This window comes from Homo sapiens, chromosome 11 (assembly GCF_000001405.40).
Source record: "Homo sapiens chromosome 11, GRCh38.p14 Primary Assembly".
In the NCBI taxonomy this organism is placed as follows: domain Eukaryota; kingdom Metazoa; phylum Chordata; class Mammalia; order Primates; family Hominidae; genus Homo; species Homo sapiens.
In genome coordinates, this window is record NC_000011.10 from 73,419,399 (window position 1) to 73,443,622 (window position 24,224).

The 24,224-nt window shown below is 41.9% G+C and overlaps 1 protein-coding gene across 5 annotated transcripts in view, besides 2 other annotated features; it reads right to left on the bottom strand.

Annotated features, from left to right (window-relative positions):
- Positions 1-24,224, bottom strand: part of FAM168A (family with sequence similarity 168 member A) — a 197,626-nt gene that overhangs the window by 18,912 nt on the left and 154,490 nt on the right. For 2 of the 5 annotated variants that reach the window (NM_001286051.2, NM_015159.3), the window contains exons 3-4: positions 11,292-11,372; positions 476-601 (exon numbers count right to left, since the gene is read on the bottom strand). In NM_001286051.2, coding sequence (NP_001272980.1) covers positions 476-601; positions 11,292-11,372 — 207 coding nt within the window. Of the gene's footprint in view, positions 1-475; positions 602-1,491; positions 1,504-5,623; positions 5,651-11,291; positions 11,373-24,224 lie in introns of all 5 variants that reach the window. The other 3 variants (XM_047426650.1, NM_001286050.2, XM_017017415.3) reach the window with 3 other exon arrangements.
- Positions 9,792-9,992: a silencer, noted in NCBI's record as "peak1349 fragment used in MPRA reporter construct". NCBI's record gives its function as "represses an SCP1 promoter by STARR-seq MPRAs in K562 erythroleukemia cells {active_cell/tissue: K562}" and the evidence as "EXISTENCE:reporter gene assay evidence [ECO:0000049][PMID:32103011]".
- Positions 10,022-10,222: a silencer, noted in NCBI's record as "peak1350 fragment used in MPRA reporter construct". NCBI's record gives its function as "represses an SCP1 promoter by STARR-seq MPRAs in K562 erythroleukemia cells {active_cell/tissue: K562}" and the evidence as "EXISTENCE:reporter gene assay evidence [ECO:0000049][PMID:32103011]".

The window sequence follows — 24,224 nt, forward strand, 5'->3', positions numbered from 1 at the left end:
TCCTACTGGCATGTAGGGTAGAGGCCAGGGATGCTGTTAAACATCCTATAATGCACAGGACAGCGCCCCCACAACAAAGAATTATTTGGCCTAGATGTCAATAGTGCTGAGATTAAGAAGCCCTGTGCTAGAGGGGGGAGCCCTCTCTGTCCAAAGACCCACAGACCTTCAAAATGTGCCCTCTGTCCTTTCCCCCTAAAATGCAGTAACAGTCCTTCCCCAATCAACTTGTTGGCCAGGTGAGTATTTCCTTCTCCTTCCCTCAGTGCTTTGTGTTTCCCCAAAGCTGAGTGCATGATCAAAGAGAATGACCTTTCCTGAATAAGGAGGGGTAATTTTTTGCCTGGGTAAAAGAACCTCTTAAAACATTATTTATCTCATAAATGTCATTTTAAAAAGCTCCCTTTCCTTTCTTCCTAAGAAACAAATCAGTCCCAACCAAGGGGAACAAGGAAATGAGACAGGCTGTATTTACTGAAAGCCGCAGAGGATGCTTGGTAAGTTCGGTTCTCGGTCCCGGTGTCCACTGGGAGGTGGAAGGTGCCTTCAGTGCCACAGGAAGACGAGTTCTGTGGCCAGGCCTGTTTCATCAGCAGAGTTGCTTAAGGGAAGACACAAGAATGGCATTAGACAGAAATAAGAAGTGGCCACCACCAATCACAGACACAAAGCAAGGGTCTTGTGCTGGACAGAAACATACAACCCAAGGGGCCTGTTCAGACACATGGGATGGTCAGCCTTTCTGAGATGGTTGAGTGGGTTAGGAGGAGTGCTGAAGTATGTTTCCAAATGATTTGAAATCAAGGAAATCTGAACTTACACTAAAAGAGTCAGGACTTTCTACCTACTACTAAAACCACAAAGATGCCCATGAATAACCATCTCCTACTACCTGACACTGTGGCCTAGGGCTCTGGTATATTCCTCAGCCACTTTCTCATTAATGTGTAACAACTTGGGAGCCTTTGTGTGTCACCAGATCAACTGAGCACTCTTTGTTGTCTGAAATATCATCTGGAGGTATATTTATAAGCTGCTTTCAAAGACAGGCCCACAAATAATGACCACATTACATGAACCTTGCTGGACTACCATCTCTTCTGAAGGGACTGAGCTGTGGCCATGGTAGCTTAAAAGGCACTGGGCACTGTGCCACACCGAACCTAGTTAGCCAGTGGGGCACTCCTTGCTAATAACTCCTTCTCCTGTACACCCAGCTGAGGCCAGACAGACATACTTCTTGCATACCCCTGAATATCTCCTACTGAGGTGTTACTGGGTGCCCCACCTGGGATATTTCCTCATGAATTAGAGGTGGTCCTTTGGGCCATTAAGAAAGCACATATGAAATTTGGGGTAGGTAGGAAATATAGATGAGGCCCAGTTTAAGATCTGCAAAGACTTCCCAGGCTGACTCAAAGCTCAGCTCGAGACATCTGAAGGATGATACTTCATATGTTTTAGAAATGGGGAGTGACTCAAAAAACTTACCTTCATGGTGTCCTGAGGGAAGGAGAAGAGAAACAGAGTTCTGAAGTGGGACTTGCCTAACTTTTTAGACATTTTCCTTATTATAATTTCAAACACTAGAGAGGAAACATTCTTGACTCAAATTACTGTTTATGGTAAAACGAAGAATTTTAGCAACATATTTTCCACTCAAATAAAGTCTTGGGGGGGGGGTCATGGATATGGGGTGCTATATAGTATATTAGCAGAAGGTGGGGCTGCATTGGCAATACTTAAAACATTTAAATAAGAGGCTAAGACAGGGTGTTATGAGAATAAAGTATGCCTATACACTCTCTAATTCCACCAGGACAAGGACATTCTACCTCTAGAGAGATCCCGTAACCCCCTCTGCCCATTCAGGTAACAGGTAATGCCTCTGGTTCCTTCGATCCCAGAAGTACTGGGGCCAGAGAAGGTCAGGGACTGTGCTGTTTTTGTTGAACCAAGGCTAGAATTATGGCTATTGTAGGCTGACTCTGCATTTGCATTAATGGCCAGCAATATATACAGCAGATGCTGAGAAATGAGAAGGAAATCATGGGCAGGAAAGTCACACTAAAAGGAGAATTCTGATAAGAGAAATGGAGACCCAGCAGTACTCCATGTAGAGCCCAGGGCCTTTCCTGGACATGAAGACATGGCTCTGCAGACAATGCAGGAGGAGGAGAGTCTGTTTTAAACAATCATTTTGCGTTTCTTTTCTTTGGGGGGGTGGGAAACAGGAAAGGGATAAAGAATCCAATTAGTGTTAACAAATCTTATCAACATGTCTCCAAATTTAGACTCTGCCACACATGTGGCTGGAAAGCAGTGGCCACCCAAAACAACTCTCTAAAAAGTAAAACATGTAGCTCTGAAAAGTCAGATAAAGCAAACCCATGCCCTCAAGACCCCGCAGGAATGCCATTAGGGGGCAGGAGGCCTGAATTTGGCTGTAGGAATTTAGAGAATTTGGAGGTTCTCTTCCATTCAAATTTTTTCCTCCAAGTGGTATATACTTTACCATAATTTTCATCATAAGCCAAAAGTCTGACATTAGCCTGAAGGACTGTGTGACCATTAAAGTTAGTAAATTAAACTAACTTATTCTTTACAAAAGAGTAAATCATTCTTTTATCCAAAGAGTGACTGAGGTCTACACTGCACTCAGCACTGAGGGGAGCGCCACGGTGGAAGGGAACACACGTGGGTCACAGTCACCGCACACAAGGTACTTATGGTCTAGCTGGGGATGCAACACAGCCACACGCCAACCAGGGAGTGAACAAGACAGCATGATACATAGTAAAATAATGTTCCAGGTTAACCAGGAAAGAAGCAAGTGCGACTGTGCCTTTGGTTACTATGTCTTTTCCAACTGATGACATGAACTATACTGTATATTTTTCTGAATAAAAATATTTTTCTTTATTTTCTTCTGGTTTCTTTACAAAGAAAATGAATTAGTGTTTTCCGTACGCCTCTGTATATTTGAATCCTTATAATTTACATAACTAGATAAATGTGAAAACACATCAAAAAAACAAATATTAGCTGTCAACTTGACCTCCCCATTAGTTAGTTGTACCATGTGATCCAGCTCCTCCATATAACGATTCTAAAGTCACCCATTCTATTGGTGGGAGCGATTCAGAGCTCAGTTGTGGGATGAAGACAATCCCAACTGAAGCTTTTAGAGGCATGGTCACAGAGGAGGCTGCTCTGAATGGCATGCCTGCCTTTGGGTGCTTGAAAAGTACCACTTCCTAGAGATGTTTTGTATTTTGAACTAAGTGGTAGTTAAATATAGGCATATACATATGTAAAGACATTATTAAGCTGTACACTTAAGTGTACTTTATATACTTTGCCGTCTATATGTTATCCCTCAATTAAACGAGAGAGAGAGAGAGAAAGAACCCTTGGCAGTGAAGGGCCATGGGCCCAGTCACAGCATGCTGCCCACATCCAGGTGCTGGGTTGTTCACTTCCCTGGATACGGGGCCCTCACGCCCTCTGACAGTTGAACAATCTGTTTAGCACACTTACAAGGAGACGAGGCAGCAAGGGACCATCATCCTGAACAATGTACTGAGTCAGGAAATCTGAGTTGTAGCCTGGGCTCTGCCACTTATTAGCTATGGGACCTTGGGCAAGTTACTTAACCTTTCTAAACTTCAGTTTTGTTGTCTCATAAAATGGCAATAATCATCACTCCTTGATTGCTTCATAGTACTGATGTGAGGGTCAAAAATAAAGTGTCACCCAGTCTTATAGTTTCTAGTTCTGGTTTCTGTCCCCTCTTCCATCTCCAAAGTTGTAGGCTACAGCTCTAATTGAAGCTCTCATCGTCTCTCATCTGAACTACACTACTGCAACTGCTTCCTCATGTTAAATCTGCTGCCCCCAATTTTCAAGCTGCACTCAGAGCGATATACCTAAGACCTAAACCTAATCATAAAACCCCCTTTCTTGAAAACATTCCATAGTTCTCCACTGACTCTAAGCTAAAGTTTGAACTCCTGTGTAGCATTCAATGCCCCACCATGATCATCTTGTCCCAATGACCTCTCTAGACTCTCTCATTGTTCTCAATCTCCAGCCCATACTACAGCCACAGAAACTGCTTATCATTCCCAGAATATGCCAAGGAGCTTCACATCTCCATGTTTTTGTCCACACTGCTACCTCTTCTGGCATGTATCTCCCCAAACTCCATCTGGTAATATTAATTAATCCATCAATCATGAGCTGAAGACTCACACCTACTACGAAGCCTTTCCTTCTCCCCACCCCTTAACCACAGCTCTCTCATGCATACCTATAAACTGACTATCCCAATCCCTATGATTCTTGGAAGCACCTGTACTTGATGGCATGTCTTCTCTCCACTAAACTGTGAGCTCCTTGAGAACAAGCCCCTTGTCTTACTAGTCTTCGTATTTTCAAAGGGCCAGCTTAGAGCCTGGCACAGAATTTTATAAAGTGAAGAACTGCATCCGTATTCTTTATGCAGATCTATTTCAGATGCTATAACTGGAAGGGGAAGAATGAAAGCTTCTCTAACTTTTTATGCACCCTTCTGTCCAGGTTCATATATCCTGAGGCAAACAAAAAATGACTACATGAGAAACAGGTCTGCAACTAACAAAATTGAAGTAATAAAATTATAAGAGGACAGTGTATTAGCATTTAAAGGGACCTCAGAGATCATGTGAAATTAAACAATTTATCTATGGCCTGGAGACAGTAGTAAATTGCCCAAGATCACACAGCCCACAGCAGTGGCAAGGAGAAATTTCACAGCTCATCTCCTGACAGATGCGCGACACACAAATTCAATTTCCAGCATCCAAATAATTCAAGGTTAAAAGTTGAGAAAGGGTGCAGAAATTTTACAAAAACATTTTCCTGAGCAGCCCAGGTGAGGGTGGTGAAAGTTGCAAGTCCCTCCCATGGTCCCTTCCTGTCTATGACAAAAAGGACCTAGTCAAGTTATACTGTTGGGACCCTCACAGGTGCCCAGAAGTTCCCGTGGTGCCTTGGGCCTGGAGTCCACACTGTCCAGAGAACCCAGTTCTGGTCCCTCATTTATCAGCACGCTGCCCCCCCCACCTCTCACCATCTTCTAGGAAAATGAGCCCAGAGCTCAAGTTCTGGGCTAAGGGAACATATTGTATCTAAAGTCAACCAGGTCTTCAAACATGTCAGACTGCCGATGGAGATGGAAAATCTGATCCTGGGGCAGACTAGTTTTTTGGGTTCTAATAGGCATAATCCAGGTACTCCTTCACAGAGGCTACCACAAAGCCAACTGAGGAGCTGCATACAGGCCCTGGAATTTTTATTCATTTGTTTGTTTGAATTCGGCAGCCAGGTTAGGTTGAGAGACGCCTTTTAGTGCCATGATCCTTTGCTGCTGCCCTAGGGACGGTTCATGTGTGTCTCCAACCCATGATTTTTGCACCATCAGACACGTTCCTGCATGCTTTAGGAACTGCTGCTGAGCCACCTGGGGGGAGCCCAAGCCTAGGGGATGGGATTTGGGGAGGAGAGGAGAGGGGATCTACCATTGTTACGAGAGAACACATTCATAGGCTGTAATACAGATGAGGAAAAATAGCTTTCCTACCATAAGCTGAATGCAGGAACTGAAACTCTGTTGGATAGAAATGTTAGTTGAAATTACCACTAAGAATTTGTGCAAAGTTGTATACATTGCAGTTACATAAACAGACTTTGTTTTGCAATAGCAGTTTCCCCCCAGCTTCACAAAAGCAGTAAATAAAGATGTAAAACACCTTTACCCTAGAGAGGGTGACAGACATGTCATCTGGGAAAGTCCATTCAATGCAGAGAGCCCCTCCCTGGATGCCATAGTGTCTTCCAGACAGCTGACCCAGAGCTGCCGGATGTGAACAAGCCCAAGTTCCTGCTTTTTGCTTGTCTGTTATAAGAATACATTTCAGTTCTCCCAGGAACTGCAGAGGGATTTCACATATGGCAGATGTGTTAGAGGAAGTGAAGGTTCAGAGACAATATCACCATCTTTGGCCTCTAAAGAGCTGTCTGTAAAACCTCTAAGAGATAGGACCAGTGCAGAGGCACTCCATCCCTGAAGCCTCTGGGTCACTGTGGTGCTATAGAAGGAGCACAGGTTGTAGGGTCAGACAAGTTGGGTTTGAATCCCAGCTATACTGCCTTTTTTGGAGACAGTGTCTCACTTTGTTGCCCAGGCTGGAATGCAGTGGTGCAATGATAGCTCAATGCAGCCTCCGGCTCCTGGGCTCAAGTGATCCTTCTGTCTCAGCCTCCTAAGTAACTGAGACTACAGGTGCATGCCACCAAGCCTGCCTGTTTTTTAAAATTTAATTTTTTGTAGAGACAGGGTCTTACCATGTTGCCCAGGCTGGTCTTGACCTTTGGCCTCAAGGGATCCCCCCGCCTTGCCCTCCCAAATCTACTGGTTTTTAGCTGTATAACTTTGGGCAACTTATTTAACCTGTTTGAACAAAGTTGGAGGCAAGAAGCCCCAACTCACAAGACTAAGGTAAAAATGAATGTTTGTAACATGACTTGTGCAGGGCTTGGAACAGGGCAGCTGTTCAGAAAGCACAAATTCCTTTTCCCTACCCTTCTCCAAGTTTGTTGTATGTAAAATGGGAATAATGTATTTGTACTTTATAGGGATGCAGTGAAATCAAATGAGACAATAGGGGAAAATGTTTTGTCAAAAGATTCTCATGAGGAGGTTATTTTATTTTTATCTGTATTAGTTAACCTGTTTATCCGTCCCTTCATTTATTTTCAAGCCAGATTACCATTAATAGGTCCCTCGATTCTGAAAGCCAAGTCTTGATTGGCTCCTACCTCTTGTGGGGCCAAAGAGTTCTTAAATAAGATCCCTGAAATCATTAAGAGCTTGGGAAAAAGCTCCAAATACCCACATTGCTTTCAGAACCAATGAAAAGAGTGAAATGTTTCCCTGCATCCTGGACAGATGACATCTCAGGGTATTCAGAGCTGCTAAAAATAGCTCTCTCTCAAGCAACTTCTGGGTCTCCTTAAAGCAGCTGAAAGAAATTTAAACCTAAGAGCCTGGTTCCTTCTGAAGGCACCTCTGTGCATCACAAATGGCTAGCTCTGGCAGGAAGGTGAGAGTAACCTACACTGTCCTTTCTGACCTTGAGCCAGCTTCTCCATGGTAGGAAGTCCCCCAGTCAGGAAATCTGCACTGTGAATCCAGAGGCCAGCATTCCAAAATATGCTGTGTGTGTGTGTATGTGTGTGTGTGTGTAGGATTCCAAAATATGCTGTGTGTGTGTGTGTGTGTGTGTGTGTGTGTAAGTAACTCAAAGGGAAAGGGATCTTCCCAAGGTTGCACCAAAATCAGAAGCAAAGTTAGTGCTACAATCTAGGTCTTTCAACTCCGAGTTTGGGGCCTTTAAATACAATACTCTAACGCTACCCTCTCTTATGGATTTTGTGTGTTTTTGAGAAAATAGTCTGGGTGACTTTAGTAGAAATATGTTGACTTTTAAAAACAAAATTGGGGACAATCAAGTTAGATGAGGGCTTATTTTTTGTTTGGAAATATGTTTTATTTATTTATTTTTTTTGAGATGGAGTCTCACTCTGTCGGCCCAGGATGGAGTGCAGTGGCGCAATCTTGGCTCACTGCAACCTCCGCCTCCCGGGTTCAAGCAATTCTCCTGCCTCAGCCTCCCGAGTAGCTGGGATTATGGGCACGTGCCACCACGCCTGGCTAATTTTTTGTATTTTTAGTAGAGACAGCGTTTCACGGTGTTAGCCAGGATGGTCTCTATCTCCTGACCTCGTGATCCACCCGCCTCGGCCTCCCAAAGTGCTGAGATTACAGGTGTGAGCCACTGCGCCCAGCCTGGAAATATGTTGACTTTTAAAAACAAAATTGGGGAAAATCAAGTTAGATGAGGGCTTACTTTTTGCTTGTTTTAAAATTAAAGCTGAATAACATGCCAGGATGTACTCAATCTCAATCTCTTTTTTTCCCCTACAGTTTCAGCCTCCTCCTATCTGCACTCCTTTCCCTCTTTAGCCAGTCTAACGCCTTAATTTCTCTCTGGCCCACTGATGCAACCACAATGTAGCAGTTAAGAGCTCATGCAGCACAGTGGCAGGGTGCTGGGGCTTGGATCTTTGGGCTAATTATGTAACTTCTCTAAGCTTTAGTTTTCCCATTTCGGAAATGGGGATAATAAGAGTACCAACCTCAAAAGTTTATTGCAATATGCAACAAGCTAATATAGATAAAGAACTTCAAATAGTTCCTGACACATAGAAAACATTCAATAAATAGTAGCTATTTATTCCATGTCTTTCCACTTATTGGCAAACTGATCCGAAACAATCCCACAGTCTATCACCAGAGGTGCTGAACATTATGAGAAAATAGCCCAGTGCTGGGGATGAGAGCCTGGACAAATTCACAGCCTCCACCATTCAGATGGGCCCCCCAATGTGACCCTGCTCTGTTATCTTTTGGTAGTTTCCAGTCCTACTCCTTCCTGTGAGGCTCTCACATCCTGACCTCCCTGGTTAAGAACCCTCCTTGATCTCTACTCCCCTCTGTCTCAGCAAATCAAGGTCATTAGATGAGAATTCTCCACTTTCCACTGGGCAATTTATTCTAAGCACATCTATCTGTGACCTTTCCTTTAGTCTTTCCTTTAGTTGCCCTCCTGCGTGAGGCACCCTGTCTCCACCTGCTACTCAACTTCCCAAACCAAAGAAGAGAACTGAGCTCCAGATTTCCCACCCCTACAGCAGCCTCTGTGGAGGCCCGGCTCTGATTGGCACCACCTCTCCTGTATCTCTGACTTGTCCTCTCCACTTGCACCTTCCTATCAGTACCCCACACTCATACCTGAGAAAACCTTCCTTCAACCCTACATTCACTTCTAGTCAGTGTCCTTTTGTTTTTCCTTTCCTGGTAGCTAAGCTTCTAGTAAGAATAGGCTATATATGCTAAATCTACTTCTTCACTCCTGATTCACTGCACTCTGGTTTCTAGCCTCACCACTTCACTGACAATGCTTCCAATGAGGCCACTGATGGCCTCCTGACTAGAAAGACAATGAATCTTCTTCACTCTTGATCTTACTTGACCTTTTGCAACAACTCATTTTGTTTCTAGACAGTTTACAAAGTCAATTCACAGATCTCATAGCACTTAAATTTAAGTCATTTATATATCATGATACACATGATCCTCAAAGCCATTGTAGTTAAGATAGAACTTACCAAATTTGATTATCAGAGAGAATTTCTGTAGCTTTTATTGTTTTTGCCTTCTATCATAGATCTTAGGGAAAATATTATATGTCATATTGACTAAAGGTAAATATGAAACCAGTGCTGAGATACCATTATAGAACTTTAGCCCATGTGTCACTGCTCCCTTCATAAGCTTTCCAAAGGCAATGACTACAGCTTCCTCAAGTTTGAATCATCTACAGGGTCTTCCAAAGTATCTTGGGCATAACAGAGTGGGTCAAAATGTCTGTGAAATGACACATCTATGTAAGCACCTTAGGGGATACCATAGCCTATTTACATAAAATAGCTCTTGTTTGTCCAAAAAACAGGGGCTGTCTGATAACTTCTTGGTGTGTGTGTATAATTATGACATGATTCCTACTTAGAGATGGGGGAAATGAGGTTCTGATAGGTCAGGTGACTCTAAGGTTGCGAATCTAGGAAATGACACAGTGAGGACTCAAATCTAGGTCTTCAGACAACCTGTATTCTTTTCTCCTTTAAGTAAGCCCCAAGAAAGAGAATGACAGTAGAATAAATACTAGATTGGCAGAGAAAAGCATAGGACGAGAGTCAGGAGATCTGCCAAAGATTCTAGTCCATATGTGGCTGCTGACTCACTGGGTAACTTGGGACAAAACACTGCTTTTTGATTCTCCTTTTTCAAGAGAAAAGGTTGAACTGGACGATCTCTAAGGTCTTTTGAAGCTTTCTAATTCTATAATGATAAGTGCTAAACAAGAAAATGGGCGGGTATTATCAAGACATTCAAGGCCTCTCCAAGTCAGCCCTTGTATATCTATAGTTCAGATTCATCTAGCTGCTCACAGTTTAGCCACTCCCCTACTTCTACGTTCCTCACAGTGTCATGTTCTCACATCTCTAAGCCTCTGCCCATGCTCTACTCTGCCTGGAATGCCCACTATTCCTTTGTGTGCTTAAAGAACAGCTTCTACTTCTTCAAATCTCTGTTGTTCTCCACTCTCTGAAGCTTCCCCTACACTTTCACCCCCAGGCAGACCGTTGTTCCCTCCTCCTTCCATGTATTCCTTTTTACAATACTTAGCACATTAGTACTGCAGTGAGTTTATATGCCAGGCTCCCAAATGGGAGCTACTTCAGGCAGGCAAAGATGGCATCATTTAATTTTTCTATTCCAGTATGGAAGACATTCAATACTTATTGAGTAAATGGAACTTACATAAAACCATCCACAACCCTGAGGCAGGTAGTCACATTTGAATCTTAGAGAGGTGAGGTGACTTGCCCAAGGCCTTACAACTAGTGAGTTGGGTAATCAGGATTCAAACCCAGGACTTTCTAACCACAGAGCCCATACTCTTTCTCCTGCTCTTGAGTATTAGAGCACCAGCTGAGCATGAGTGTTAAGATCAGAACTAAGACCACTGCAATGATCCAAGCCCAAAATGGAATAAACCTTTTCAACATTTTCAAACCCATTTCAACCTCAATCCGAGTGTTGGGCCTTTATTATTTTTGAAAAACAAGTAGCTTATCTCAGCTTGAAAACCATCTCTTTGCCCTCTGGTGGCAAGAGCATGTGTGTGTGTGTGTGTGTGTGTGTCCCAAGGTGTGTGTGTGTGTGTGTGTGTGTGTCCCAAGGGGTGTGTGGGTGTGTGTGTGTCCCAAGGTGTGTGTGTGTCCCAATGGCAGCCTCAGGGAAAACTGAGCAAAGAATGAATTTGGACATTGCTTGGGAGAGCAGAAAAGGTTCTATGAGGAGGATGCAGGTCTCAGACATTCCAGCATAGGACAGATGAGCCAACCTTAAGTCCCAGACAGAGTGGAGGAGATTCTATTCCCGCCCCTACCCTGAGGCTGATTGTCCCAGTTCCCAGAAGGGACTCCCAGGAAAATCCAGCCTGGAGAGGCTGCGCCCGGAGCAATTAAGAACAGGAAAAGGCCAGCAAGTGGTTTTGCTTTTCCCAAATAGAGTCCCCCTTCCCACTCCATTCGCCACTGCTGTCCCATTTCCTCCTTACCTGGAGCATAACTGGGACTATTGGTGGGGTACAGGCTGGGATTGTAGGCAGGGGCAGCTGCTGGATAGGCTGTGGGGTAACCTACAGAGAGATAAGAAAAGGCTTATTTAGTTAGGCAAAAAAAACAAAACAAAACAAAACAAAACAAAAAAACACCCAGATTTTTGAGGAAATAGAATCCAAGTCCTAGGTTTGGCGTTCAGTCTCTCCATGGGCTATTCCAGATAGTATATGTGACCAGCTTTCAGCCTCTCAAGAGAAAAGTTACCAATACCAAAATCCCAATATATGCAGACTTTTTGGTCTATTTTTTAAAAGCAATACAAGAAATATTCTATATGCTCACTATTAAAAAGAAAAAAAAAAGTAAGTGGCCAGGCACGGTGGCTCATGCCTGTAATCCCAGCACTTTGGGAGGCTGAGGCGGGTGGATCACGAGGTCAGAAGTTCAAGACCAGCCTGGCCAAGATGGTGAAACCCCGTCTCTACTAAAAATACAAAAATTAGCCAGGCGTGGTGGTGGGCGCCTGTGGTCCCAGCTGCTATGGGGACTGAGGCAGGAAAGTCACTTGAACTCGGGAGGCAGAGGTTGCAGTGAGCTGAGATCATGCCGCTGCACTCTAGCCTGGGCGACAGAGCAAGACTCCATCCGCTGCCCCCCACACCCCCCCGCCAAAAAAAATGGAAGCAACATTGAAGTTTACACTTTTTATGTTCAAGTTTACTTTCACATTCCTGCCGCACTACTCTCCTCCCCAGAAGTAACACCATTAACAGTTTGGCATCTATCTTTCCAGATGGCTTTCTACACATTTTTATATACATATATTCAGTGGTGTGCTGGTAAATATTTAACAACGGGCTCGAAGGGGTTGGAAATGAGAGCTACTTTGCAACATTTGCCAACTGCCATGGCATAAATGCTTCCACTATGACCAATTTGATGCTATCAACATCACTGAATGAGTAGTTCGGAAGAAGTGCCCACAATCAGCTCTCAAGAGTTTACACAAACCAGCTCCAGCTCACTACAGTATACTATATTCAGTTTGGGGGATTTTTTGAAATTTTTTTTATCATGGTAAAATACGTGTAATATAAAATGTGCAATTTAACCATTTTTAAATATATAATTCAGTAACATTAATGACATTTACAATGTTATGCAACTATCATCACTATTTGTTTCCAAGACATTTTCATCATCCCAAACAGAAACTCTGTAACCATTAACAATACATCCCCCAATACTCAGCCTGGTAACCTCTAATCTACTTTCTGTCTCTCTGAATTTGCCTATTTTATGTAATTATTTTATGTAAGTGGAATCATACACCATTTGTCCTTTTGTGTCTGGCTTCTTTCACTTAGCATAATGTGTTTAAGGTTCATCCATGTTGTAACATGTACCAAAACTTCCTTCTTCTTTATGGCTGAATAATATTCCACTGTGTATATGCCAGACTTTCTTTATCCGTTCATCTGTTGAGGGACGCCCAGGTTGTTTCTACCTTTTGGCTATTGTGAATAATGGTACAATAAACAATGACATGTAAGTATCTGTTTGAGTACCTGTTTTCAAATCTTTGGGATAAATACCAAGTAGTAGAATTGTTGGGTCATATGGTAATTCTATGTTTAGCTTTTTAAGGAACCACCAAACTGTTTTTCACAATGTCTGTACTATTTTACATTCCCTCCAGCAATGCATGAGAGTTCAAATTTCTCTACATCCTCAACAACCCTTGTTTTATTATTATTATTATTATTATTATAGCCATCCTATAGTAAGTGTGAAGTGGGATCTTAGTGTGGTTTTGAATTGCATTTCCCTAACGACTAACGATATTGAGCATTTTTCATGTACTTATTGGCTATCTGTATATCCTCTCTGGAGAAATGTCTATCCAAATCATTTTCCCATTTAAAAATACAATTATTTGGCCGGGCGCGGTGGCTCATGCCTGTAATCCCAGCACTTTGGGAGGCTGAGACTGGCAGATCACAAAGTCAAGAGATCGAGACCAGCCTGACAAACAAGGTGAAACCCCGTCTCTACTAAAAAAATAACAAAAATTAGCTGAGTGTGGTAGCGTGTGCCTGTACTCCCAGCTACTTGGGAGGCTGGGGCTGCAGTGAGCCGAGATGACGCCACTGCACTCCAGCCTGGTGACAGAGTGAGACTCCATCTAAAAATAATAATAAAAATAAAATAAAACAATTATTTGTTTATTTTTTAAGAGACAGGGTCTTGTTCTATTACCCAGGATGGAGTATAATGGCAGGATCATAGCTCACTGTAGCTTCCAACTCATGGGCTCAAGCAATCCTCCTGCTTCAGCTTCCTGAATAGCTAGGCCTACAGGTGCGTGCCACCACGCCCCGCCTTTTTTTTTTTTTTTTTTTTTTTTTTTTTGTAGAGACGGGGGTCTCATTATGTTGCCCACACTGGTCTCAAACTCCTGGCCTCAAGTGATTTTCCTGCCTCGGCCTCCTAAAGTGCTGGGATTACAGGGCATTTTCCCATTTTTTCATTGGGTGGTTTGTCTTTTTGCTGTTACACTGCAGAAGTTCTTTATATATTCTGAATATTAAACCATTATCAGATGTATTACTTACAAATATTTTCTCCCATTCTGTGGATTGTCTTTTTACTTTCTTTATAAAGCCTTTGATGCAAAAAAAAAAAATCAATTTTAAGTCCAATTTACCTATTTTTTTCTTTTCTTGATTATGCCTTTGAGTGTCCTATCTAAGAATCCACTGCCAAATCCAAGGTCATGAAGATTGACCCTTACGTTTTCTTCTAACAGTTTTATGGTTTTGGCTTATATTGAGATCACTGATCCATTTTGAGTTAATTTTTATATATGATATGAGGTAGGGGTATACATAGTTATATATTCTACTTTTTCACTTTAACATTATAAACAATTCCTCATGTAATTACATATTCTTCAAAAGGCTTATTTTAATATCTTTATGATATTCCGTATGTAGATACATCATTTAACCATTGCCTGTTTTAGTTGTTTGAAAATTTCATTTTTATAATAGCTAACAAACTAAAATAACCTAAGTAAATCTCTGACTGATTATTTCTTTAGGAATGAATTCTAGAAGTCAAATCTCTAGGTCAAAGGGTAGGCCCTTTTTTTTTTTTTTTTTTTTTTTTGAGATGGAGTTTCACTCTGTCGCCAGGCTGGAGTGCAGTGGCGCTGTATTGGCTCACTGCAACCTCTGCCTCCCGGGTTCAAGAGATTATCCTGCCTCAACTTCCCAAGTAGTTGGTATTACAGGCACATACCACCACACCCAGCTAATTTTTGTATTTTTGGTAGAGATGGGGTTTCACCATGTTGGCCAGGATGGTCTTGATCTCTTTATCTCGTGATCCACCTGCCTTGGCCTCCCAAAGTGCTGGGATTACAGGCGTGAGCTATCGTGCCTGGCCAGGTAGGCCTATTTTTAAAGTTTATCCATCCAACAAACAATCTGAGTATCTACTTGGTGCCAGACACTGGTTTAGGGACTTTTGTCAGTGAACAAAACAAAGATTCCTGCCCTTGTGGAGTTTATATCCTAAGAGGGTGGGAGAAGGCACCCTTGGATAAATATTAAACATAAAGTCTTCAGTGCTATGGAAAAGAGAAAATGGGCAAAGTAAAGGGAACCAGAAGTGCCAAAGTGTCGAGGGTAAGGGCACTGCAATATTAAACATGATAATCAAAGTAAGACATATTGAGAAGGTATTATTTTTGCAAAGGCTTAAAGGAAATGATAGTGTTAAGCAGATAGCTGAAGGAGTGTTTTAGACAAAACAGTCAGTGCAAAGGCCCTAAGGTGACAGCATATGGGACAATGTTGGAGGAACAGCAAAAAGGCCAGTGTGGCTGGAATGGAACAAATGAGGGGGCAGTAGTAGTAGAGTAAGTCAGAGAGGTAAAGGGCTGGCCAGTTCATGTAGGGCTTTACAGGCCACTGTGAGGACTTAGACTTCTATTCTGAGTGAAATGAGAAGACCTCATAGGGTTTTCAGCAGAAGAATAACATGCTTTGACTTATGTTTGAAAAGGGTCACTCTGATTGATGTGTTGAAAACAGACTATAAGCGGGTAGAGAAGCATAGCAATCAGCTGAGAGGCTACTGCAAGCTCCTGGCAATAGATGTGGGATTCAGGGAAATAGTGGAGGTTTGAAGAGACGTGACATCCCAAGAACCTTCACATACTTTGCCATACTGTTTTCTAGAAAGACCATCAATTTGTACTTGTTCTAGCAGTGTATAAGTGCCTGTCTCACTGCTTCCTGCAGTTGTTAAATGCTCACTGGTATTCTGACTGACAATGAAAAGCTGGTTTTAAAAGTCAAAGATTAAATCCCTAAATCCCTAAAAGCTTCTTTGGGATTTGTAAATACTGGAGCTTTAATAATGTATCTTTGTTAATATGCCTTTCCCTAAATCCTTTCCAATTCCAAAGAAAATTCATCTCTTTACCCCCTGATCATTTTCTGATTTTAGAACTGAGGTAGCTAACTTGTTGATTAATTAGCAATCTGGAGGTGTGCTACTTCTCAAGAAGAAAGTCAGGGGTCTAATCTGGGAAGCCAGGTGATCCAGTCTCATAGCCAAAATCTGTACTCAGCTTCATGTGAGAAATTGTGCAGCCACAGGTAATCACACTCCTGTTTTGTCATTTCAGATGTCTTTCACTTTAGGGGCAATTATAGGATGTTCCTTCAATGTTTCCAAGTGGAATTATTTTTAATTCACTTGAATTTGGCAGATATTATATAATGGCAGCATTACAGGGAGCTTTATTTGGTCCTCCCTCCCTCTCTTTCCTTCCTTTCTTACTTCTTTTCTTACCTTCCTTCCTTCCCTTCTTACTTTACTTATTTATTTATTTATTAATTACAGGATCTCAAGCATTGCCTGAGTCCAGGAGTTTTATAACTGTTAATACATTATGTCTGGTCAGGTATGGTGGCTCACACCTGTAATCTCAACACTCTGGGAGGCTGAAGTAGGAGGATTGCTTGAGCTCAGGATCTCTACAGTCTTGTGACACATGACTGTACACTGAGTTCTTGAAAAGACATACCGTCTCTATTTCACTCATTTCTCATACAAAAGATATTTTCGCATTTGCTTTTCATTTGAGCCTCAAATCAATCCTAATGTGATTTCTCCCATTTTATAGCTAATCAAATAGAGGTTGAGAGGTGAAGTAACTTTCTGGTTAAGATTATTCAGCAAGTCAGTGGTCGAATTGGGAAGGGAATCCCAAAAGCAATGCCTTTTCCACACCTACCAAATAATTATCACTTTGTCCTTAGAAACAAGCCTGCCCCTTTTGTATTTGTATTTTTTGAAGGTCAAGAGTGAAGAGAATAAATGGACACAAGTTAGCTTTTTTCCTTTATATCCTAAAGGCTGCAGTAGTGATCAGGTATTCTGGGATTTTGATGTGTACATTTTAATTGCTTTATAGATGTCAATACAATCTAAGCCTCTTTTCTTGTTGGTACTAGGATTAGGACTAAAGAAATGTAAAGCTATTTTTTGATTAATATGGAAATTAGAAATTACTTTCAACAGAAATCAGGGGACTATTTCTGAAAATACTTTACCTTTAGGAGCTTAAAATAGCAGAGTATCAAAAGGCCAGAGGAAGACAAACTCCCTGGCTCAGAAAGACAAAGAGGCTTACTTCTTTGTGAGCAGGAGAATACTTAGGCAATGAAGACATTTTAGGTCTGAAGCTCACAATTAAAAAGAAAACTGCCCTGCAAATGACCCCCTAGGGTGATCAAAACCAAAACAATGACCAAAAAAAAAATCTTTATTCTCTCAAGATAATAAAGAAGAGGGCAAGAGGAAGGATGTAATTTTGAATCTGTATTATGTTCTGGCCACTGTGCTAGGCACTTCTATATCTGATTTAATCTCTACCCAAAGTCAACAAAATATATTACTAGTTCCATTTTAGAGAGAGGATATTAAGACTTCTCTTACAGAGCTAATAAGTAGAGAGTGGAGACAGAACCCATTCCTACCAACCTCCCTGCCTCTCCTCAAAATGAGTCTACTCAGAGAAAATCTCTGGATTTGGCTGCCATTTACTTTGCCAAAATTCTTTTACTTTATCTTCAAAACCAAGGAAAAAAGGAAATTACTCTGGAGAGTCAATTTGGTCAAAGATGGCTGTGTTTAAGAAAAGAAATAAAACAACAACTACTGTTTCCACTCAGTGGAAAGGTCATGGTTGTGTTATTGAAAAGTATCACAGGCACTGAATTATAGAGTTGGAAGGGGTATTAGAGGTGATTGAGTCCAACTTGTCACTCAGCACAGGAATACCCTTTATAGTGGCACACATGACTGGCAGCATAGCCTCTGCCAGCATACTTTTTTTTTTTTTCCAAGACGGAGTCTTGCTCTGTCTCCAGGCTGCAGTGCAGTGGCGCTATCTCGGCTTACTGCAACCTCCGCCTCCTGGGTTCAAGCAATTCTCCTGCCTCAGCCTCCCAAGCAGCTGGGATTACAGGCACATGCCACCCCACCTGGCTAATTTTTGTATTCTTAGTAGAGATGGGGTTTCATCATGTTGGCCAAGCTGGTATTGAACTCTTGACCTCGTGATCCACCCACCTCGGCCTCCCAAAGTGCTGGGATTTACAGGTGTGAGCTACCACGCCCGGCCACTCTTTTTTTTTTTTTTTTTTTTTGAGACAGAGTCTCACTCTATCGCCCAATCTAAAGTGCAGTGGTGCGATCTCAACTCACTGTAACCTCTGCCTCCTCGGTTCAAGCAATTCTTCTGCCTCAGCCTCCCGCAGCATACTCTTCTAATGATGGTATGCTCAGAACCTCTTCAGTGAGTCAAAGCACCGACTGGAGAGCTCTGAAGTTAGAAAATTCTTCACTCTGAGCTAAAAATCTGACTTATTAAGAATCTTACCCTGAACATTTTTTCAGCCACTGGAGTGCAGAGGCTGAGGCAGGAGAACTGCTTGAACCCAAGACACAGAGGTTGCAGTGAGTCGAGATCGCACCATTGCACTCTAGTTCCTGGTCCTAGTTCTACCCTCACAGAACATGTCTGTTTCCTCTCCTCCTGGACAGCTTGCTAGAGATATGAAGATATCCATGATTCCTCCTGAATTTTCTTGTGTTCAAATCCAACAGACCCAGTTCCTTCAATCTTCCCTCATCCTGACTGCTCACCTGTGATCAGACTTCAATTTACAAATCCCCTTCCCTTAAAACAATTCAATTTTTCTTCTTGCCTCGTTGATTCCTCTGCTGATAGTTTTTCCCCAATTAAAAAAAGATAATTAAGCTGACATAACAAGACTATGGTGATTGTGGTCAGTGAAGGCCTAAAGTGACTGCATCCAGATTTCATCATCATCATCATCATCGTCATCATCATCATCATCACCATCATCATCATAGCATCTGGCAAATACTCTGTGGCAAGCAGGGTGCTAGGTTCTTTACAGAGCACTTACAGTCTAATGGGAAAATAATATAGTTATTTAAATTAATCTCTAGCAGTAATATATGTAAGATATAATCAGAGAATGCTGAAAGTGTTATCAGAATGCTGAGGAGGAAATGAAGAACATGTTTAGAATAGTTGGGAAAGGCTTCTTAGAGAAATAAACATTTTAGTTGGCTTTGAACAATGAATGGGAGGAGTTTGTCAAGGTGCGGAGGGGGCAGGAACAAAGAAATATATACTGATTCCATGCATGAAGGTATGAAAGTGCATACCACATTAGGGAAATGGCAAACAGTTAAGTACAGTTGGAATTTACTGCGTGCGGGGAAAAGTGGCAGGAAATAAAGATAAAAAGGTAGACTGGGGGACAGGCTGTGAAGGGATTTGAATGCCAGGCTAAGGGATGGAATTAATCAAAAAATAACAGGAAAACATTGGAGGGTTTTAAACTGGGGGGTTTCATATGTATGTCTTACAAAAACTACTCTGGCGGCAGAATGAAAAGGAGTTCAGAGTGGTTAAGATCAGAGAAGGAGGAACACGATAGTAAGTCACTACAGTAGCCCAAAGGAAAAGCTAAAACACTAGCAATAGGATGAAGAGAGGAGGGACTACAAAGATGTTTAGGAGGCAGAGCCTACAAAATCTGATCCTGAGCACAAAACCCCATTTTAGTCCTGTGGGCTAAGAAGCTACAAAGAATGACGGGAAACACTCTAACTGCAGGGTTTGCAAGTACTATCCCCCCGCCTCACCCCCCCTTCTTTTCTTTGATAGGCAGAAGGAAATAAAATAAATAGACCCTTGAATCTGTTAGCTCCAGAAAAATGCATGAATCTGAATTTCTCTTACTAGCTGGGAGGCTTGACTGCTGAGAGTGCTATACTGGTGAAAATGTAGGTCAGCCCAAGCAGGCAGCAGTTCTGTAGTGCTGGCTCTGAACCTGTCCACCAGACCTGAATCTAAGATAGCCTGTATATTAGATTCAAGGCCCAGCCACCCAGCCTTCCACTGGCGAGCTGCAGGGAATTGTAAAGGGTGTGAACTATAATAAATGAGGCACTGTTCTCATCTAGGGCAAGGCAGCTCCTCCTGAGGTAACAAGACAGGAGGAAATATCCAGTAATCAATTGCGCTCTGAGTTGTGCTGCATCTTCAGAGAAAGCATACCTATCCAGGTTAAAGGCCAGCAACCTCTGGGTCATTCACCTAGGCTGAGCCCTAGCACAGAAAGGCTGCTAAAACCAGATCAGCCTTAACTTCCTATGTTATTAGTGTACAAACAGTATCAACAACAAAAAAGATAAGAAAATAAGTTGCTTAGACGCTAGTAATATAACTGCTCCTACGTAAATATATAAGGCCAAGAGTGTGCTGTTGCCTCAGGACAATTTTTTTTTTAACAAATCTAAAAATATCTCTGCAGTTCCCTATCTGCTGGTATAGGAGAAATTTTAATGGGAAGCAGATGGCCTATTCTCTCAATCCCCATTCTAGGAGTGTGCTGTTGCTTCTTTTTTCTCCTACATTTATAAGGCACTTGGGAGGTACTCAACACTTTAGAGGTTGTTTGGTGTCTCTGACCTCTGTGTGTTTATCTTCTAAAACAGATCAAAGAGCAAGGTGAAATTTTGTGAATCGATAATTTGGTCCATGAATACCTTTGTCTCTCAGGTCACTTTTTTTTTTTTTTTTTTTTTTTGAGTCGGAGTTTTGCTCTTGTCGCCCAAGCTGGAGTGCAATGGTGTGATCTCTGCTCACTGCAACCTCTGCCTCCCAGGTTCAAGTGATTCTCCTGCCTCAGCCTCCTGAGTAGCTGGGATTACAGGCGCCTGCCACCGCGCCCAGCTAATTTTTGTATTTTTAGTAGAGACGGGGTTTCGCCATGTTGGCCAGGCTGGTCTTGAACTCCTGGCCTCAAGTGATCTGCCTGCCTCGACCTCCCAAAGTGCTGGGATTACAAGTGTGAGCCACTGCGCCTGGCCCACTCTTTTATTCTACTGTTCCATTTAAAGAGATTTACTGAAGGGAAAAATCTTGCTCAGATTCAACAAAATATATTAGAACACTTGTTTTCCATGTAAAATAATAAAATTAGACACCCCCACCCCACACCTCACACTTCTCCAATTCTAGAAAGACCAAAGACTTTAAAATAAAACAGGCTGGTCGTGGTGGCTCACTCCTGAAATCCCAACACTTTGGGAGGCTGAGGAAGGAGGACCGCTGCTTGAGCACAAGAGTTTGAGACTTGCCTGGGCAATGTAGCGAGACCCTGGCTCTACAAAAAGCGGTGGTGTGTGCCCACAGTCCCAGCTACAAGGGAGACTGAGGTGGGAGGATCACTTGAGCCCAGGAGATGGAGGCTGCAGTGAGCCGTGACTGCACCACTGCACTCTAGCCTGGTGACAAAGTGATACCCTGTCTCAAAAGAAGAAAAAGGAAAAAAAAGAAAAAGAAATAGGAGAATATCAGAGTCCCAGAGAATATCAGTATGACCTTGGGATTACAAAGTGTTTCTTAGATGATACCAAAAGGGAGAACCACAAAAGGGTGAAAAAATTAACTAATTAAAACATAAAGTTCTATATGTCAGAAGATGCCATAAACAAAGTTAAAAGGCAAGCACAGAGAAATAAAAGACATTTGTAACATATGTAACATTGGACTAGAGGCCAGATTAAAAAACTCATATCAATCAAGAAGAAATGAAAATAAGCCAATAGAATCTAATCAGGCAACAATTCACAAAAGAAACCATACAGCTGACTGGGGAGAAACAGAAAGATGTTCAACCACAAGAGTAATCAGCAAAATGCACAAAAAAGGAATGTTATATCATTTCATACCTATCAGACAGACTTTTTTTTTTTTTTTGAGACAGAGTCTTGCTCTGTCACCAGGCTGGAGTGCAGTGGCGCTATCTCAGTTCACCACAACCTCCGCATCCCGGGTTCAAGCGATTCCCCTGCCTCAGCCTCCCAAGTAGCTGGGATTACAGGCACATGCCACCACGCTTGGCTAATTTTTTGTATCTTAGTAGAGATGGGGTTTCACCACGTTGGCCAAGATGGTCTCGATCTCCTGACCTTGTGATCCGCCCACCTCAGCCTCCCAAAGTGCTGGGATTACAGGCGTGAGCCACCACACCCAGTCTAGGCAGGCAAAAAAATTTTAAAGTGTAACAATATCAGGTGTTGGATAGGACCCAAAACAATGCTCCTATTTTGTTCTGGGTTTCTACATTTGTATTCAAATGGGTTATTGGTCTATCTATAGTTTTCTTGTGATGTCTTTGCCTGGTTTTGGTATCAAGGTAATGTTGGCCTCATAGAACGAGTTAGAAAGTGTTCCTTTATCTTCCATTTTTTCAAAGAGTTTGTGCAGGATTGGTGATAATTCTTACTCAAATATTTGGTAGAACTCACCAATGACGCCATCTGGTCCTGGGCTTTTCTTTGCGGAAAGTTTTTTGATTACTAATTCTCTCTTATAGGTCTAGTCAGATTTTCTATTTCTTCACGAGTCGGTGTTGGCAGTTTCTTTCTTTCTAGGAATTTGTCTATTTCACCTAGGTGCCTAATTTGTTAGCATACAATTGTTCACGGTCTTACCTCATATTCCTTTTTATTTCTATTAAAAGTCTGTAGTAATGTCCTCTGTATCATTCTTGATTTTAGTAATTGGAGACTTCTCTCTTTTGTTCTTCATCAGCCTAGCTAAAGCTAAAAAGGTTTGTTGATTTTGCCAGTCTTTTAAAATAACCAACTTTTGGTTTATTGATTTTCTCTGTTTTTCTCCATTTTATTTCACTGATTTCTTTATCATGTCCTTTCCTGTACTTGATTTAGGCTTCATTTGCTCTTTTTCCCCGCAGTGTGTTAAGGTGAAAGATTCAGTTATTGAGTTGAGGTCTTTCTTCTTCTTTTTTTTTTTTTTTTTTGAGACGGAGTCTCACTCTGTCGCCCAGGCTGGAGTGCAATGGCACAATCTCGGCTCACTGCAAGCTCCACCTCCCGGATTCACGCCATTCTCCTGCCTCAGCCTCCCGAGTAGCTGAGACTACAGGCGCCCGCCACCACGCACGGCTAATTTTTTGTATTTTTTAGTAGAGATGGGGTTTCGCCGTGTTAGCCAGGATGGTCTCGATCTCCTGACCTCATGATCCGTCTGCCTCAGCCTCCCAAAGTGCTGGGATTACAGGCATGAGCCACCGCGCCCGGCCTCTTCTTTTTTAATGTAAGCACTTACAGCTATAAATTTCCCAGACATTTTGGTATGTTATGTTTCATTCATCTCAAAGTATTTTCTCATTTTCCTTGTGATTTCTTTTTTGACCCACTGGTTATTTAGGAATGTGTCATTTAATTTTCACGTAACTGTGAATTTCTCAAATTTCTTTCTGTTACTGATTTCTAATTTTGTTCCACTGCAGTCACAGAACATACTTTGGTATGAGTTCAATCCTTTATACGTACTGAGAGTTGTTTTATGGCCTAGCACACTGTCTATCCTGAAGATTGTTCCATGTATTCTTGAGAATTATATTCTATTATTGGAGTGCCCTCTAGGTGACTGTTGGGTATACGTGGTGTACAGTGTTGTTCAAGGCTTCTATTTCTTTTCTTTCTTTCTTTCTTTTTTTTTTTTTTGAGACAGAGTGAGTAAAGATGCTGACAGTAAAGGAAAGGAGAGGAAGTGACAGCTTGAGGAGACAGAAGAGTCCACAGGAATTTTCCTTTATATATACAAAGGATATATATATATATATATATATATATATATATATATATATATGCCAAGCCTTTTTTCCACCCTTAAAAATGGAGGAAATTAGGAGCACATAACTAAAGGCATCTTTGTTTACATTTACACTCAGGTTGCTAAAGTTCACTTTTATACTTATTTTATCATCCCAAAGCCTGTATCCTACAACCTTTCTTAGCCCTTTCCCAGTGCTATAATTAGTTGTAGGCTGGAAAGCCAAAAATCCATGCTTTTTAGAATTATGTATACATTAAATGTTAATACTTGAGCGACTGCCTTCAAAAATAAGCCAAGTGCACAAACTTTGGCCAATTTAACTAAATAAATACTTATTTGAGCACTTAATGTGTGCTAAGTGCTATAATGAATGCAAAAGGAAGACATAATTCTTGCCCTCCGTGAACTCACCATCTAATGAGAAAGACAAGCAAGAACATAAGTAACCCTGATATTAGGCTGCCAGGGACAAAGGCCATCACAGAGGGAGATATAAGCGTTGTGAGAGAAGAGGGAAGAAAGACGAAAAGACTTTTAATCTGGTCTGGCTTCTGGATTGGAAAGGTTGCTGCAACTCCAAGTTAGTGACAGGAGATACCTTAAATAGAGTGTTACCTGTGCTCAGGTCATGTCCCCTTCCCTACTGTTGTGGACACTG